Source organism: Homo sapiens, chromosome 12 (genome assembly GCF_000001405.40).
Source record: "Homo sapiens chromosome 12, GRCh38.p14 Primary Assembly".
Lineage (NCBI taxonomy): Eukaryota > Metazoa > Chordata > Mammalia > Primates > Hominidae > Homo > Homo sapiens.
Genome location: NC_000012.12, coordinates 123,363,350 through 123,379,355, shown reverse-complemented (window position 1 = coordinate 123,379,355; position 16,006 = coordinate 123,363,350). Strand labels below are relative to the sequence as shown.

The 16,006-nt window shown below is 50.2% G+C and overlaps 1 protein-coding gene, 1 long non-coding RNA gene and 1 other non-coding gene across 5 annotated transcripts in view, besides 8 other annotated features; 2 read left to right on the top strand and 1 right to left on the bottom strand.

Annotated features, from left to right (window-relative positions):
- Nucleotides 8,550-8,723: a silencer, noted in NCBI's record as "fragment chr12:123855180-123855353 (GRCh37/hg19 assembly coordinates)". NCBI's record gives its function as "represses an EF-1alpha promoter that drives an FKBP-Casp9 reporter gene in an ReSE screen in phorbol 12-myristate 13-acetate-treated (for megakaryocytic differentiation) K562 erythroleukemia cells {active_cell/tissue: K562(+PMA)}" and the evidence as "EXISTENCE:reporter gene assay evidence [ECO:0000049][PMID:32094911]".
- On the bottom strand, nucleotides 13,552-14,408 carry SBNO1-AS1 (SBNO1 antisense RNA 1). 2 transcript variants are annotated; one of them, NR_157805.1, is made up of 2 exons: nucleotides 14,220-14,408; nucleotides 13,552-13,831 (listed from the first exon to the last, which is right to left on the bottom strand). It is a non-coding gene; the product is annotated as an SBNO1 antisense RNA 1 (long non-coding RNA). The 2 variants fall into 2 exon arrangements; NR_157806.1 differs by having other exon boundaries at nucleotides 14,241-14,408.
- Nucleotides 13,749-13,958: an enhancer, noted in NCBI's record as "active region_7260". NCBI's record gives its function as "activates an Ori minimal core promoter by ATAC-STARR-seq in GM12878 lymphoblastoid cells {active_cell/tissue: GM12878}" and the evidence as "EXISTENCE:reporter gene assay evidence [ECO:0000049][PMID:35858748]".
- Nucleotides 14,129-14,228: a silencer, noted in NCBI's record as "silent region_5040". NCBI's record gives its function as "represses an Ori minimal core promoter by ATAC-STARR-seq in GM12878 lymphoblastoid cells {active_cell/tissue: GM12878}" and the evidence as "EXISTENCE:reporter gene assay evidence [ECO:0000049][PMID:35858748]".
- Nucleotides 14,359-14,598: a silencer, noted in NCBI's record as "silent region_5039". NCBI's record gives its function as "represses an Ori minimal core promoter by ATAC-STARR-seq in GM12878 lymphoblastoid cells {active_cell/tissue: GM12878}" and the evidence as "EXISTENCE:reporter gene assay evidence [ECO:0000049][PMID:35858748]".
- Nucleotides 14,509-16,006, top strand: part of SBNO1 (strawberry notch homolog 1) — a 75,739-nt gene continuing 74,241 nt past the window's right edge. For both annotated transcript variants that reach the window (NM_018183.5, NM_001167856.3), the window contains exon 1: nucleotides 14,509-14,655. The gene's annotated coding sequence lies outside the window, so the exon portion shown is untranslated. The remainder of the gene's footprint in view (nucleotides 14,656-16,006) is intronic.
- MIR8072 (microRNA 8072) lies at nucleotides 14,513-14,592 on the top strand. The gene has a single exon (NR_107039.1). It is a non-coding gene; the product is annotated as a microRNA 8072 (primary transcript).
- Nucleotides 14,709-14,788: a silencer, noted in NCBI's record as "silent region_5038". NCBI's record gives its function as "represses an Ori minimal core promoter by ATAC-STARR-seq in GM12878 lymphoblastoid cells {active_cell/tissue: GM12878}" and the evidence as "EXISTENCE:reporter gene assay evidence [ECO:0000049][PMID:35858748]".
- Nucleotides 14,829-14,938: a silencer, noted in NCBI's record as "silent region_5037". NCBI's record gives its function as "represses an Ori minimal core promoter by ATAC-STARR-seq in GM12878 lymphoblastoid cells {active_cell/tissue: GM12878}" and the evidence as "EXISTENCE:reporter gene assay evidence [ECO:0000049][PMID:35858748]".
- Nucleotides 15,125-15,843: an enhancer, noted in NCBI's record as "H3K27ac hESC enhancer chr12:123848060-123848778 (GRCh37/hg19 assembly coordinates)". NCBI's record gives its function as "activates a minimal SCP1, AML or CMV promoter by ChIP-STARR-seq in naive H9 embryonic stem cells {active_cell/tissue: H9 hESC(naive)}" and the evidence as "EXISTENCE:reporter gene assay evidence [ECO:0000049][PMID:30033119]".
- Nucleotides 15,419-15,468: an enhancer, noted in NCBI's record as "active region_7259". NCBI's record gives its function as "activates an Ori minimal core promoter by ATAC-STARR-seq in GM12878 lymphoblastoid cells {active_cell/tissue: GM12878}" and the evidence as "EXISTENCE:reporter gene assay evidence [ECO:0000049][PMID:35858748]".

Below are 16,006 nucleotides of genomic sequence, written 5' to 3'. Positions count from 1 at the left end.
TCTTTCTTTTTTTCTTTCTGTCTTTTTTTTTGAGACAGAGTCTCGCTCTGTCACCCCAGTGGCACAATCTCAGCTCACTGCAACCTCTGCCTTCTGGGTTCAAACGATTCTCCTGCCTCAGCCTCCCACATAGCTGGAATTGCCGGCATGCACCACCACATCAGGCTAATTTTTTGTATTTTTAGTAGAGACAGGGTTTTGCCATGTTGGCCAGGCTGGTCTCGAACTCCTGACCTCAAGTGATCCGCCCACCTCTGCCTCTGAAAGTGCTGGGATTACAGGCATGAATCACAGCGCCTGGCTATGTGCCTCTTTCTTAGAGGGGTGAGAACGAGCTCTCCGGGGCTCTTCCTCCGATTTTGCTAGCTGTGCTAACCCCAACTTGTTTTTATTTTTATCTCCAGCTTTGGAGGTGGTAGCTGCTTCCTCTAGTTGTTATTTACATTGCCTCGGTGTTCCCTTTCTGCCTTCTCAGTCCTCTGTCACCCGTTTAATGAATTTCCTATTTTAACCTCTCTGTTTTCCTAACTGGATGCTGACTTACAGAAGGGCACTAGTAAGACTTATATTTTTACTCCAGTCCAATGGAAAGCCACTAAATGGTTTTAAGCAAAGGGTAGATTCATAGATTGTAAATCTGAATACTAATTTATTGCAAAGAGTACATAAATTATAATTATCGACACTGGGCGTGGTGGCTCATGCCTGTAACCCCAGCACTTTGGGAGGCCCAGGCAGGAATATGACTTGAGGTTGGGAGTTCGAGACCAGCCTGGCCAACATGGCGAAACCCAGTCTCTACGAAAAATACAAAAAAACTACAGGTGGCACACACCTGTAATCCCAGCTACTTGGGATGCTGAGGCAGGAAAATCGCTTGAACCTGGGAGGCAGAGGTTGCAGTGAGCCAAGATTACACCACTGCACCCCAGCCTGAGCGACAAAGTGAGAATAAAAAAAAAATATATGGCCAGGCACGGTGGCTGACGCCTATAATCCTAGCACTTTGGGAGACAGAGGCAGGTGGATCACCTGAGGTCAGGAGTTCGAGACCAGCCTGACCAATACGGAGAAACCTTGTCTCTACTAAAAATACAAAATTAGCCAGGCGTGGTGGCGCATGCATGTGATCTCAGCTACTCGGGAGGCTGAGGCAGGAGAATTGCTTGAACCCGGGAGGTGGAGGTTGTGGTGAGGTGAGATTGTGCCATTGCACTCCAGCCTGGGCAACAAGAGTGAAACTCCGTCTCAAATTAAAAAAAATATATATATATATATATATGAGATAGAGGATGTGCAAATATATATAAATATATGTTACTATCTTCATTTTTTCTTTCTTTTTTTTTTTTTTTGAGATGAAGTCTCACTCTGTCACCGGGCTGGAGTGCAATGGCGCGATCTTGGCTCACACTGCAACCTCTATCTCTTGGGTTCAAGTGATTCTCCTGCCTCGGCCTCCCCAGTGGCTGAGATGATAGCTGCACACCACCATGCCCAGCTAATTTTTGTATTTTTAGTAGAGATGGGGATTCACCATGTTGGCCAGGATGATCTGAATCTCTTGATCTCGTGATCTGCCCGCCTCGGCCTCCCAAAGTGTTGGGATTAACAGGCGTCAGGCACTGTGCCCGCCTCTTTTTTTTTTTTTTTTCTTAATAGAGACCAGGTTTCAGTACGTTGCCCAGGTTGGTCTTGAACTCCTGGCTTCAAGTGCTTCTCCAACCTCCTTTAGGCCTGAGCCAACATGCCTGGCCTAAAAGTACCTTTCTCTATATACACACATATATTAATATGTATAATGTATGTACAATATGCCAGGTGCTATGCCTCACGCCTGTAATTCCAGCACTTTGGGAGGCCGAGGTGGGCGTATCACCTGAGGTCAGGAGTTCGAGACCAGCCTGGCCAACATGGTGAAACCCTGTCTCTACTAAAAATACAAAAATTAGGGCCGGGCACGGTGGCTCACACCTGTAATCTCAGCACTTTGGGAGGACAAGGCGGGTGGATCACCTTAGATCAGGAGTTCGAGATCACCCTGGTAAACATGGTGAAACACTGTCTCTACCAAAAATCCAAAAAATTGGCCGGGCTCATGCCTGTAATCCCAGCACTTTGGGAGGCCAAGGTGGGCGGATCACGAGGTCAGGAGTTCGAGACCATCCTGGCTAACATGGTGAAACCCCGTCTCTATTAAAAATACAAAAAATTAGCCCAGCGTGGTGGTGGGCACCTGTAGTCCCAGCTACTCGGGAGGCTGAGCCAGGAGAATGGCGTGAACCCAGGAGGCAGAGCTTGCAGTAAGCCGAGATCGCACCACTGCACTCCAGCCTGGGTGACAGAGTGAAGACTCCATCTCAAAACAAAACAAAACAAAACAAAAAACAATTAGATGTGGTGGCACACACTTGCAATTCCAGCTACACAGGAGGCTGAGGCAGGATGATCACTTGAACCCCAGTGAGCTGAGATCATGCCACGGCACTTCAGCCTGGGTGACAAGAGTGTGAGACTCCATCTCAAAAAAAAAAAAAAAAAAGACAGGGTCACGCCATGTTGCTTATCTTGAACTCTTGGGTTCAAGCCGACTCCCACCTCGGCCTCTCAAAGTACTACAATTACAGGTGTAAGCTACTGCATTCAACCCCAAATAGCTTTTATGCACAATCAGGCTTTTTGCTTCTCTGTCAAATGGATATAGCTACTTTTCTCCTCACATTTTCTCTTAAAGGAAAGGCATTATCAAACTAGTTGTACAATATATTGGGAATTCCTTACAGTTTTAAAAATTATCAGGCCAGGGCCAGGCCTGTGGCTCACGCCTGTAATCCCAGCACTTTGGGAGGCCGAGGCGGGCAGATCACCTGAAGTCTGGAGTTCAAGACCAGCCTGAACAACATGGAGAAACCCCGTCTCTACTACAAATACAAAATTAGCCAGGTCTGGTGGTGCATGCCTGTAATCACAGCTACTCGGGAGGCTGAGGCAGGAGAATTGCTTGAACCTGGGTGGCAGAGGTTGCAACAAGCCGAGATCACGCCATTGCACTCTAGCCTGGGCAACAAGAGCAACACTCTGTCTCAAAAAAAACAAAAACAAAAACAAAAACAAAAGTCAGGGCACAGTGGCTCGTGCCTGTAATCCCAGCACTTTGGGAGACCAAGGCAGGTGGATCACGAGGTCAGGAGATCGAGACAATCCTGGCTAACATGGTGAAATCCCATCTCTACTAAAAAAATACAAAAAAATAGGCCGGGCGTGGTGGCTCACACCTGTAATCCCAGCACTTTGGGAGGCCAAGGTGGGCAGATCACCTGAGGTCAGGAGTTCGAAACCAGCCTGACCATCATGGAGAAACCCTGTCTCTACTAAAAATATCAGCTATTTGGGAGGCTGAGGCAGGAGAATCACTTGAACCCGGGAAGAGGAAGTTGGGGTGAGCCGAGATCTGGCCGACCCTCCAGTCTGGGCAACAAGAGTGAAACTCCATCTCAAAAAAAAAAATTATTTTATGGCCAAGTGCAGTGGCTCATGCTTGTAATCCCACCACTTTGAGAGGCCAAGACAGGTGGATTGTTTGAGGTCAGGAGTTTGAGACCAGCCTGGCCAACATGGCCAAACCCCGTCTCTACTAAAAATACAAAAATTCGCCGAGCGTGGTGGCATGCACCTGTAGTCCCAGCTACTTGCGGGGCTGACACAGGAGAATCGCTTGAACCCGGGAGGCGGAGGTTGCAGTGAACCGAGATCATGCCACTTCACTCCAGCCTGGGCAACAGAGCGAGACTCTGTCTCAAAATAAATACAAATAAATAAAAATAAAAATTATCATTTTATTATAAAATCACATGGAAAATGTATTTATTGATGAGCACGGGCAGTTTGTTTTTGTTTTTTGTTTGTTTTTAAGACAGGGTCTTGCAATGTTACCCAGGCTGTGGTGCAGTGGTGCCATCACAGGTCACTGCAGCCTCAACCTCCCAAGCTCAAGTGATCCTCCCACCTCAGCCTCCCGAGTGGCTGGGGTGATAGGCGTACACCACCATATCTGGCTATTTTTTGCAATTTTTGTAGAGACAGGGTCTTGCCATGTTGCCCAAGCTGGTCTCGAACTCTTGGTCTCAAATGATCTGCCCGCCTCCACCTCGCAGCATTCTGGGATTACAGGTGTGAGCCATGGCACCCGGCCCAGAATGTGATTTTTCTTAATTTTTTCCTGTGTAGGCTTTCTTTCTTTTTTTAATCTTAAATTGGTGAGTTTGAAGGAATGAATGAATATCATCATTTTGGTTCTGGGAGATGTTCTTAATAGATGTATGATTTGCTGGTTACCATAACAAAGTACTGCAAACTAAGTGGCTTAAGCCACAGAAATGTATTGTCATACAGTTCTGGGGGGCAGAAGTTCAAAATCAAGGTGTTGGCGGGTTGGTTCCTCCAAATGCTATGAGCAGTGGTCCCTCGCATGCCTCTCCCGTAGCTTTTGGCGGTGAGCAGACAATCGGACATTCCTTGGCTCGTAGAAGGTAGAAGTATCACCCAGATCTGCGCCTGCATCTTCACATAGTGTTCTCCCTCTACAACACTGTTACGTTGGATTAAGGCCAATGACCTCATTTTAACTTGATTAGATCTGTAAGAACATCTCCAAATAAGGTCGCATTCTGAGGTACTGGGGGTTAGGATATGACTTCAACATACGAAATTGTGGGGGACATAATGCAACCCACAGCAAGAGTGTTATTAAAAAATAATTTAGGTGTTTTTTTTTTTTGAGACAGAGTGTTGCTCTTGTTGCCCAGGCTGGAGTGCAATGGTGCGATTTCCGCTCACCGCAACTTCTGCCTCCTGGGTTCAAGTGATTCTCCTGCCTCAGCCTCCTGAGTAGCTGGGATTACAGGCATGTGCCACCACGCCCAGCTAATTCTGTATTTTTAGTAGAGACGGGGTTTCTCCATGTTGGTCAGGCTGGTCTTGAACTCCGGACCTCAGGTGATCCACCCGCCTCGGCCTCCCAAACTGCTGTCATTACAGGCATGAGCCACCGCGCCTGGCCTAATTTAGGTATTTTAAGGCCAGGTGTGGTGGCTCATACCTGTAATACCAGTGCTTTGGGAAGCTAAAGGGGGAGGATCACTTGAGGCCGGGAATTCAAGATCAGCCTGGGTGACACAGCGAGACCTTGTCTCCATAAAAAAAGTTACAAATTTGGACAGGCACAGTGAGTCATGCCTGTAATCCCAACGTTTTGGGAGGCCAAGGTGGGCGGATCACTTCAGGTCAGAAGCTTGAGACCAGACTGGTCAACATGGCAAAACCCTGTCTCTACTAAAAATACAAAAATTAGCCGGGTGTGGTGGCATACGCCTGTAATTTCAGCTACTCGGGACACTGAGGCAGGAGAATCGCCTGAACCTGGGAGGCAGAGGTTGAAGTGAGCCGAGATCGCACCACTGCACTCCAGGCTGGGTGGCGGAGTGAGATGCTGTCTAAAAAAAAAAAAAAAAATTAGCCTGGCATGGCTGGCAGGCACCTGTAATCCCAGATACTCAGGAGGCTGAAGCAGGAGAATCACTTGAGGCCAGGAGGTGCAGTGTGCTGAGATCATGCCACTGCACTCCAGACTGGGTGACAGAGTGAGACTCAGTCTAAGAAAGAAAAAAAAATTTACAAATTAGCCCAGTAGTCCCAGTTACTCAGGAGGCTGAGGTTGAAATGATTGCTTGAGCCCCTGAGTTCGAGGCTGCAGTGAGCCATGATCTCACCACTTCTTCCAGCCTGGGTGACAGAGCAAGACCCTGTCTCAAAAAACAAAACAAAGTGTTTAGATATTTTAAATGTGATTTTTTAAGGGAAAGTTTACAAACATTAACAGCAATGTTTCCATTATAAAAACATAAAAATCGTCCATGGGTTTTGTTTTTTTGTTTGTTTGTTTGTTTTTTTGAGACAGAGTCTCACTCTGTTGCCTGGTGGCATGATCTCGGCTCATTGCAACCTCTGCCTCCCAGGTTCAAGCGATTTTGTGATCCCAGCTACTCTTGCCTCAGCCACCCGAGTAGCTGGGATCACATGTGCATGCCACCATGCCTGGTTAATATTTGTATTTTTAGTACATACAGACGGGGTTTCACCATGTTGGCCAGGATGGTCTCTAACTTTTTTTTTTGAGGCAGGGTCTCGAGTAGTTGGGACTACAGGTGCTATGATCGCGCCACTGTGCTCCAGTTCAGCCTGGGCAACAGACAACAGACAGTGGGAAAGCCTACTTTCTTGGGACAATTTGAGTTAATATCAGTCCATACTCAAAAAAGGTAGATAATTGGGGCCGATAAAAACTTGTAAAGCTTAATTTAAATTTATAATTGAAACTTTCAACATTGTAATTTAGTTAGTATCTGTATTGTTCCGGATTGTTTTGGATTGCATACAAGGGAAACTCAACTCAATCTGATTCAAGAAAATAAGGGAAGGTATTGACTTTTAATTTATTTATTATTATTATTATTTTAGTATTTATTGATCATTCTTGGGTGTTTCTCAGAGAGGGGGATGTGGCAGGGTCATAGGATAATAATGGAGAAAAGGTCAGCAGATAAACACGTGAACAAAGGTCTCTGGTTTTCCTAGGCAGAGGTCCCTGCGGCCTTCGGCCTTCAGCAGTGTTTGTGTCCCTGGGTACTTGAGATTAGGGAGTGGTGATGACTCTTAAGGAGCATGCTGCCTTCAAGCATCTGTTTAAACAAAGCACATCTTGCACCGCCCTTAATCCATTTAACCCTGAGTTGACACAGCACATGTTTCAGAGAGCACGGGGTTGGGGTTAAGGTTATAAATTAACAGCATCCCAAGGCAGAAGAATTTTTCTTAGTACAGAACAAAATGGTGTCTCCTATGTCAACTTCTTTCTACACAGACACAGTAACAATCTGATCTCTCTTTCTTTTCCCCACATTTCCCCCTTTTCTTTTCGACAAAACCGCCATCGATATCATGGCCCATTCTCAATGGTCGCTGACTCGTCGGAGCTGTTGGGTACACTTCCCAGATGGGGCGGCCTGGCAGAGGCGCTCCTCACTTCCCAGACGGGGTGGCGGCCGGGCAGAGGCACCCCCCGCCTCCCAGACGGGGCGGCGGCCGGGCAGAGGCGCCCCTCGCTTCCCAGACAGGGTGGCCGGGCAGAGGGGCTCCCCACATCCCAGACGATGGTCGGCCGGGCAGAGACGCTCCCCACTTCCCAGACGGGGTGGCGGCCGGGCAGAGGCTGTAATCTTAGCACTTTGGGAGGCCAAGGCAGGCGGCTGGAAGGTGGAGGTTGTGGCGAGCCGAGATCACGCCACTGCACTCCAGCCTGGGCAACAGTGAGCATTGAGTGAGCGAGACTCCGTCTGCAATCCCAACACCCCGGGAGGCTGAGGCGGGCAGACCACTCGAGGTCAGGAGCTGGAGACCGGGCCGGTCAACAGGGCGAAACCCCGTCTCCTCCAAAAATACAAAAACCAGTCAGGCGTGGCAGCGCACGCCCGCAATCTCAGGCACTCGGCAGGCCAAGGCAGGAGAACCACGGGAGCCCGGGGCAGGGAGGCTGCAGCGAGCCGAGACCACGGCAGTACAGTCCAGCCTCGGCAACAGAGGGAGACTGAAGAAAGAAGGGAGAGGGAGGGGGAGGGGGAGGGGGAGAGAGGGAGCTATTTATTATTTCTTCAAGACAGGATTTCACTGTCACCCAGGCTGGAGTTCATGCAGTGGCACAAAGATGGTTCACTGCAGCATCGACTTCCTGGGCTCAGGGGATTCTGTGCCTCAGCCTCTTGAGTACCTGGGACCATACATGTGTGCCACCATGCCCAGCTAATTTTCTTGATTTTATCTTTGTAGAGATGGGGTCTCACTATGTTGCACAGGCTGGTCTTAAATTCCTGGCCTCAAGGAATCCTCCTGCCTTGGCCTCCCGAAGTGTTGGGATTACCAGCGTGAGTCACCACACTCAGCCCCTGGTCTGTTTTTTTTTTTTTTGAGACTGAGTCTCCCTCTGTCACCCAGGCTGGAGTGCAGTGGCACAATCTCAGCTCACTGCAACTTCTGCCTCCAGGGTTCAAGCGATTCTCCTGCCTCAGCCTCCCGAGTAGCTGGGATTACAGGCGCCTGCCACCATGCCCAGCTAATTTTTTTGTGTGGGTTTTTAGTAGAGACGGGTTTTTACCATGTTGGCCAGGTTGGTCTCGAACTCCTAGCCCCAGGTGATCCACCTGCCTTGGCCTCCCAAAGTGGTGGGATTACAGGAGTGAGCCACCGTGCCTCGCCTGTATTGACTCTCTCTCTTTTTTTTTTGAGACCGAGTCTCCCTCTGTAGCCCAGGCTGGAGTGCAGTGGCACGATCTCGGCTCACGGCAGCTTCCACTTCCTGGGTTCAAGTGATTCCCCTGCCTCACCCTCCCGAGTAGCTGGGATTACAGGTGCCCACCACCACGCCCAGCTAATTTTTTTTTTTTTTCAGATGGAGTCTCACTCTGTCACCCAGGCTGGAGTGCAGTGGCGTGATCAAGGTTCACTGCAACCTCCACCCCGCCGGGTTCAAGGGATTCTCCTGCCTCAGCCTCCTGAGTAGCTGGGATTACAGGTGCTTGCCATCGTGCCTGGCTAATTTTTGTATTTTTAGTAGAGACGGGGTTTCACCATCTTGGCCAGGCTGGTCTTGAACTTCTGACCTCGTGATCCACCCGCCTCAGTCTCACAAAGTGCTGGGATTAAAGGCGTGAGCCACTGCGCCCGGCCAATTTTTTGTATTTTTAGTAGAGACAGGGTTTCACCATGTTGGCCAGGCTGGTGTTGAATTCCTGACCTCAGGTGATCCACCCACCTCGGCCTCCCAAAGTGCTGGGATTACAGGTGTGAGCCACTGCGCCCAGCCCAGCCTGTATTGACTCTTGTTTTTTCTTTTTATTTTTGTATTGACTCTTTTTTTTTTTTTTTTACTATACTTTAAGTTCTAGGGTACATGTGCACAACATGCAGGTTTGTTACATAGGTATACATGCTCCATGTTGGTGTGCTGCACCCATTAACTCGTCATTTACATTAGGTATATCTCCTAATGCTATCCCTCCCCTCCCCCTTCCCCCCTGTATTGACTCTTATATCAAAAAAGTTAAGGCTGAGCACAGTGGTTCCCACCTGTAATCCCAGCACTTTCAGAGGCCAGAGTAGTAGGATCACTTGAGCCCAGGAGTTAGAGACCAGCCTGGGCAACATGGTGAGACCTTGTCTCTATAAAAAGAAAACCAGGGCCAGGCGCGGTGGCTCACACCTGTAATCCTAGCACTTTGGGAGGTCGAGGTGGGTGGATCACCTGAGGTCAGGAGTTTGAGACCTCCTGCCTGACCAACAAGGTGAAACCCCGTCTCTACTAAAAATACAAAAATTAGCCAGGCATGATGGCAGGTGCCTGTAGTCCCAGCTACTTGGGAGGCTGAGACAGAGAATTGCTTAAATCCAGGAGGCAGATGTTGCAGTGAGCTGAGTTCATGCCACTGCACTTCAGTCTGAGCAATGGAGTGAGACTCCGTCTGAAAAAAAAAAAAAAAAAAGAAAACTGAAAAACCAAAAAAGCTCAGGGTTAGAAATCGCTTCAGGTTTGACAGGGTCCCAGGACTCAGCAGATGTCATCAGAATCCAGTCCCTCCCCACCCCACCTACTCCTTTGCCCTGCTGTTTTCTGGGTTGATCTCATTATCAGCGTGGCCTCCTGCCCCACAGGGCCTCTGCCCCAACTTCCCAACACTGTCTTAGCAACATCAGAGGCAAGAGAGTATCTTTTTCCTGATATTTTCAATGCAAAGTATTAGAACTGCGACTCACTGGCCCGGCACCAAATCGGATCACTATGGCTGTGGATCCAGTATTCTAATCAGCTAGACCTGGCTTGCACACTCAATCTGGAGTGATGTGCATGAGACATGGTTAGTGCTCTCCAAACCACATGGACTTTGAGAGAGGGAGATAAAACTAAGATGCGGCTCTCTGAAGAAAGAACCATAGATTCTGGGCAGTCAAAAACAACTGTCTACCACAGTGTTTGCCATCTTGAATAATCCAATAGATGCTTCAGCCACACACTGGTGCTCTCTGCTGCATTAGACATCGCTGGTGCTAGTGTCTCTGAATTAGAGGGTGACCTTTATGGGGGCTCTGATTGCTCCTGGTGTCTCAGGGAAGGATTTGGTGTGATGAGGCTAATTCAGCGAGTGTGTGGAAAACTGCAAACTGGGTATAGTTGATGCTATTGCATAGAAGTGCAGCTGCCAGGGTGAAGAAGTGTTGCTGGGATGACTACTCCCTTGCATCCATGATATAATCTCTCCTTGATTCTGCTTTGACCTCTCTGATTGACCTTTCTCATGCTCACTGGGTGCTCACTTTCTTTCTTTCTTTTTTTTTTTTTGAGGAGTCTCGCTCTGTCACCAGGCTGGAGTGCAGTGGTTCGATCTTGGCTCACTGCAACCTCCACCTCCTGAGTTGAAGTGATTCTCCTACCTCAGCCTCCTGAGTAGCTGGGATTACAGGCACACACCACCACACCCAGCTAATTTTTGTATTTTTAGTAGAGACGGGATTTCACCATGTTGGACAGGATGGTCTCGATCTCTTGACCTCGTGATCCTGCCATCTTGGCCTCCCAAAGTGCTGGGATACAGGCGTGAGCCACTGTGCCCGGCCTGGTGCTCATTTCTTTTTTGTTGTTGTTGCTGAGACAGAGTCTTGCTCTGTTGCCCAGGCTGGAGTGCAATGGCACCATCTCCACTCACTGTAATTTCCGCCACCTGTGTTCAAGTGATTCTCCTGCCTCAACCTCCTGAGTAGCTGGGATTACAGGTGTGCACCACCACACCCGGCTAATTTTTTGTATTTTTAGTAGAGACAGGGTTTCACCTTGTTGGCCAGGCTGGTCTCAAACTCCTGACCTCATGATCCACCCACCTTGGCCTCCGAAAGTGCTGGGATTACAGACGTGAGCCACCACACCTGGCCTGGTGCTCACTTCTTAGACACAGAACCTCAGCTCTGCCCCTGGCTCTCCTCTCTGCATTCTCTCCTAGTTGTATTTTTTTTTTTTTTTTTGAGATGAAGTCTCACTCTGTCGCCCAGGCTGGAGTGCAGTGGCATGATCTCGGCTCACTGCAACCTCCACCTCCTGGGTTCAAGCGATTCTCCTGCCTTAGCTTCCCAAGTAGCTCAGATTACAGGTGCCTACCACCACATCCGGCTAATTTTTGTATTTTCAGTAGAGATGGGGTTTCACCATGTTGGCAAGGCTGGTCTTGAACTCCTGACCTCAGGTTATCCACCCACCTTTGCCTCCCAAAGTGCCTGGATCACATGTGTGAACCACCGTGTCCAGCCTCTCCTAGTATAGTTTTATCCCGTCTCACATTAATCCCCATCTGGATCCCCAAGCTGTAGGATTCAATTGCTTCCTAAGTATCTCCAATAGGATGTCCCAAAGGTCCCTCACCCTCAAAATTCCTTATGATTTACTTTGGTAGCGTCCAATGAACAACACTTCCCACTAGTCATACCCTTGTGTTGCCTTTCCTGAGCTGAATTTGGCTGCCTTGTTAACCAATAGAATGTGGTGGAAACATCACTGTCAGTTGCAAGCCTAAGAATTTTTTTTTTTTTCCAGACAGAGTTTTGCCAAGCGCAGTGACTCATGCCTGTAATACCAGGACTTTGGGAGGCTGAGGCGGGCGGATCACCTGAGGTCAGGAGTTTGAGACCAGCCTGGCCAATATGGTGAAACCTCCTCTCTACTAAAAATACAAAAATCAGCTGGGTGTGGTGGCACACACCTGTAGTCCCGGCTACTCGGGAGGCTGAGACAGGAGAATTGCTTGAACCTGGGAAGCAGAGGCTGCAGTGAGCCGAGATCGCACCGCTGCACTCCAGCCTGGGTGAGATAAAGCAAGACCCCGTCTCAATAAATAAATAAATAAATAAATAAATAAATAAATAAATAAGGCCCGACGCAGTGGCTCACGCATGTAATCCCAGCACTTTGGGAGGCTGAGGCGGGCATATCACCTGAGGTCAGGAGTTCGAGACCAGCCTGGCTAACATGGTGAAACGCCGTTTCTACTAAAAATACAAAAAATTAGCCGGGCGTGGTGGTGGGCACCTGTAATCCCAGCTACTCAGGAGGCTGAGGCAGGAGAATCACTTGAACCCAGGAGGCGGAGGTTGCAGTGAGCTGAGATCCCGCCATTGCAACAAACTAGCTTGGGCAACAAGAGTGAAACTATGTCTCAAAAAAAAAAAAAATTAAAAAAATAGTTTCGCTTTGTTACCCAGGCTGGTGCAGTGGCACGATTATAGCTCACTGTAGCCTCAAACTTCTGGGCAATCAAGTGATTCTCCTACCTTAGCCTCCTGAGTAGCTGGGACTATATATCACACTTGGCTAATTAAAAGTTTTTTGTTGGGCCGGGCGCGGTGGCTCACGCCTGTAATCCCAGCACTTTGGGAGGCCGAGATGGGTGGATCACGAGGTCAGGAGATCGAGACCACGGTGAAACCCCGTCTCCACTAAAAATACAAAAAAAAAAAAAAAAAAGTCCTAGCTACTCGGGAGGCTGAGGCAGGACAATGGCGTGAACCCAGGAGGCAGAGGTTGCAGTGAGCCGAGATCGCGCTACTGCACTCCAGCCTGGGCGACCGACAGAGCGAGACCCCGTCTCAAAAAGAAAAATGTTTTTTTGTCGAGATGAGGTTGCACTTTGTTACCCAAGTCTGGTCTCAAACTCCTGGCTGAGATCCCCGTTTCAGCCTCCCAAAGTGTTGGGATTACAGGCGTGAGCCACCACACCTGGCCTGTGCCTAAGGTTTTTTTTGTTTTTTGTTTTTGAGTCGGATTCTCGCTCTGTCGCCCAGGCTGCAGTGCAATGGCACGATCTCGGCTCACTGCAACCTCCGTCTCTTGAGTTCAAGCGATTCTCCTGCCTCAGCCTCCAGAGTAGCTGGGATTACAGGTGCCCGCCACCAAGCCCCAGCTAAATTTTGTATTTTTAGCAGAGATGGGGTTTCACCATGTTGGCCAGGCTGGTCTCGAACTCCTGACCTCAGGTGGTCCGCCCACCTCGGCCTCCCGAAGTGCTGGGATTACAGGCGTGAGCCACTGCGCCCGGCCTAAAATATTTTTTATTTTTGTCTTTATAGGTTTTTTTTCTATGTGTGTGAGAGGATTAAATGAAATAATGTAATTAGTAAAGCGATTAGTTAGCACTTTAAAAATATTTATAAATGTATACATAGATATATAATACATATCTATGTGTACAAACACTGAAGTTTCCTATTCTTTCTGTGCCTACTTTTTCCTTTCTTTCCCCGAATACTTTGTCTCTGGAAGAGTTCACACTGTAACCTCCAACTGTTCCAGCTACTTGGTTTGCTTTCAGCACTAGGCTTGTAGGATGCGCAGCCAGTAGGGGGCAAGAATCACCCAGGCGTGCTTATTACCCAAGCAACGGAGTCAAACAGCACTTTCAGAATGACTTTACAAAAGGGTTACCAACAAGGTAATATGTTTATTGTGTTAGGTCGCTTAATAATAACGAAAAGATGAAAACAAGGAAGTGAGAAGCGGTAGGGACAGCCCTACTCTTCAGTATTCATTAAGTGGGAGCCCCGGTGTGTCGGGCTTGCGTATGAGCGTGAAGACAGACGTGGGATGGCTGAGCTCACACGCCTTAGGCTCTGATTCTAGCCGTGGTCGCGCCGAGGGCTCCGGGTTACTTGCGGTTTCACTGCCAATAAAGTGCTTTGAGCGAGCCTAACAAGCAATGAATATGTAAACATTTTGTTTCTAGGACTAACTAGGTAATGAAGAGATCTTCCAAGTGACAGAAACGCTGCTAGGTAACTTCCTGGGCCGTAGCTCCCCACCCTAACAGGTTCTGAAAATAGCTCCAGGCCCTTCCTAACCGGAGTTTGAAAGCAGGCGCGGGGCGCATGCGCGCGGCCCTCCGGCCGACCTCCCGATAGCCCTGGCACGCGGACCTTCTTCCCGACAGGCCGCGGGGAAAAAAGGGCGGGGAAACGGAATTACCGCGAGCTCTCCGTGAGCGCCGGCGGAAACAGTAGTCACGTGACTCTCCTAGGTGGCCTTCGCCTTCCCCCTCCCCCTTCGCGGAAACCCGGCCCCCTCACCCCTCGCCCACCCCAGAGCCGCGGTAATGGACCGTTTGGGTTCCGGAATTCTCTTGGATCCAACAACTGGTACCGGGCCGAGGATAGCCGGCGGAGTCCGTTTTTGGCGGCGAAGACTGGGGGGTGGTCAAGATGGGGGGGAAATCATCTTCCTTCACCTAGGAGGGAGGCGGGGCGGAGAGGGGCGCAGAGAGGCGGGTGGGGGAGGAGGGAGGAAGTCACGTGAGGGCGCTGCGTGCGCGCGGCGCCTCATCCGTTGCCCCTCCCCCGCCCCTCCCGGCGGGGCGGGGGGGCTGGGGGAGGGGCGTCAAGATGGCGGCGGGGAGGTAGGCAGAGCAGGACGCCGCTGCTGCCGCCGCCACCGCCGCCTCCGCTCCAGTCGCCTCTGGTCCTTCAAACTCACACCTCCCGGGAGGAGCTGTGCTGGCGCCGGGTCCCGCGGGGAAAGTAAGTCCTTCCCTTGGCCCTTTTCTCCTTCCACACTCCCCCTCCCGGACAGCCTCCCACTCCCACCCTCGGGGGGCCGTGCGGGGCCAGGCTGGGGGGACAGCCACCTCGCCCCGGCTTGGGGCCTCCCTCGCCGCTTGCCGCTCCTCGCGGCCGCGCGCTCCGGGGCCCTCGGGGGCATGTTCCCGACGGCGGCTCCGTTGTACTCGCTTCCTCTGTTCGTCAGCGCCGGGCCCCGCTGTCGCCGCTCGTGGGGCTTTCGGGCTCCGGGAGCCCCGCTGTCCCGGGCCGGAGGCACCCCTCTTGGACCGCGGGGCAGGGTCTGTGCACGCCGGCTCCGCTGGGTTCGCCCCTTTGGCTTCCGCCTCACAACCCGGGGGCTGCGGGTCCGGGACCCGCGGGGAAAGTAAGGACCGGATCCTTCCCAAGTCCTCTTTCGTGCCCCAGCATTGCTCCCGGCTCTGGGCGAGGGAGGGAGGCAGGCGACGCGGTCGTCCTTCCTAAATCTGAACCCCACAGCGCGGTCTCGTACATGCCCCGCTCTTGGGGCGGTGGGGAAGCCGCGGGGGACACGTGCAGGCTCCCTTCACGCCTCTCCAGGCGACTCGCTTAGTTCTGCCTCGGCGGGCGAGCTCACCTCCCAGACCCTAAGAATTACCCATGGAGGGGAACGGCAGTTGGGGATTTGCTTACTTTGAGAGCGTTTGGCATAACGAGCATCCAGAGTTCCCCAAAGCAGTGGATACCGGTGGTTTCCCAGAAGTGGTTTGGGGTCGGTTTAACCGCTGAGGAGATTTGGATGTTCCTAAACCCTTCTGATTGTTTCTTTCCTGACCCTGGCATCCAGCTCCTCCCCTTCCCACCCCTGCTTTGTGCTTCTGTTTGGTTAATGTTTGCGGACCACTAACTTGATCCTCGCACAGAGAAGCTCTTTTTATGTGCGTGCTCGGTTTACTGTGGGAGGCTTTTGTTTTGGGGAGTCGCTGGTTGAGAAACGTGGGAAAAGAACGGGCCAGAAAATGAGAGACAAATAAAGCAACGTTTTTATCCATTGAATTGCGCAGCCAATTGTAAGTGCACCCGGAAGTTTGTACTGAACACGTGTTGAGGGAAGGTTATAAACTGGTCCCCTTTGACCTTTGAAAGTTGGCTATTATCATTTTATGTTGAGTTAAATGTTTCATATATTCTAGACAGCCAGAATTAGGGATGGAATATGGTTTCTAAAGAGTCATCCAGAAGGGTGCAGAGAACTGTCATCCGGAGTGCCCTAGCAGGAATTGACTTAACACTTTCAGATAATTCTGCGAGCTGACAGTACAGAGGGATTCTATTTTCCACCATATTTTCT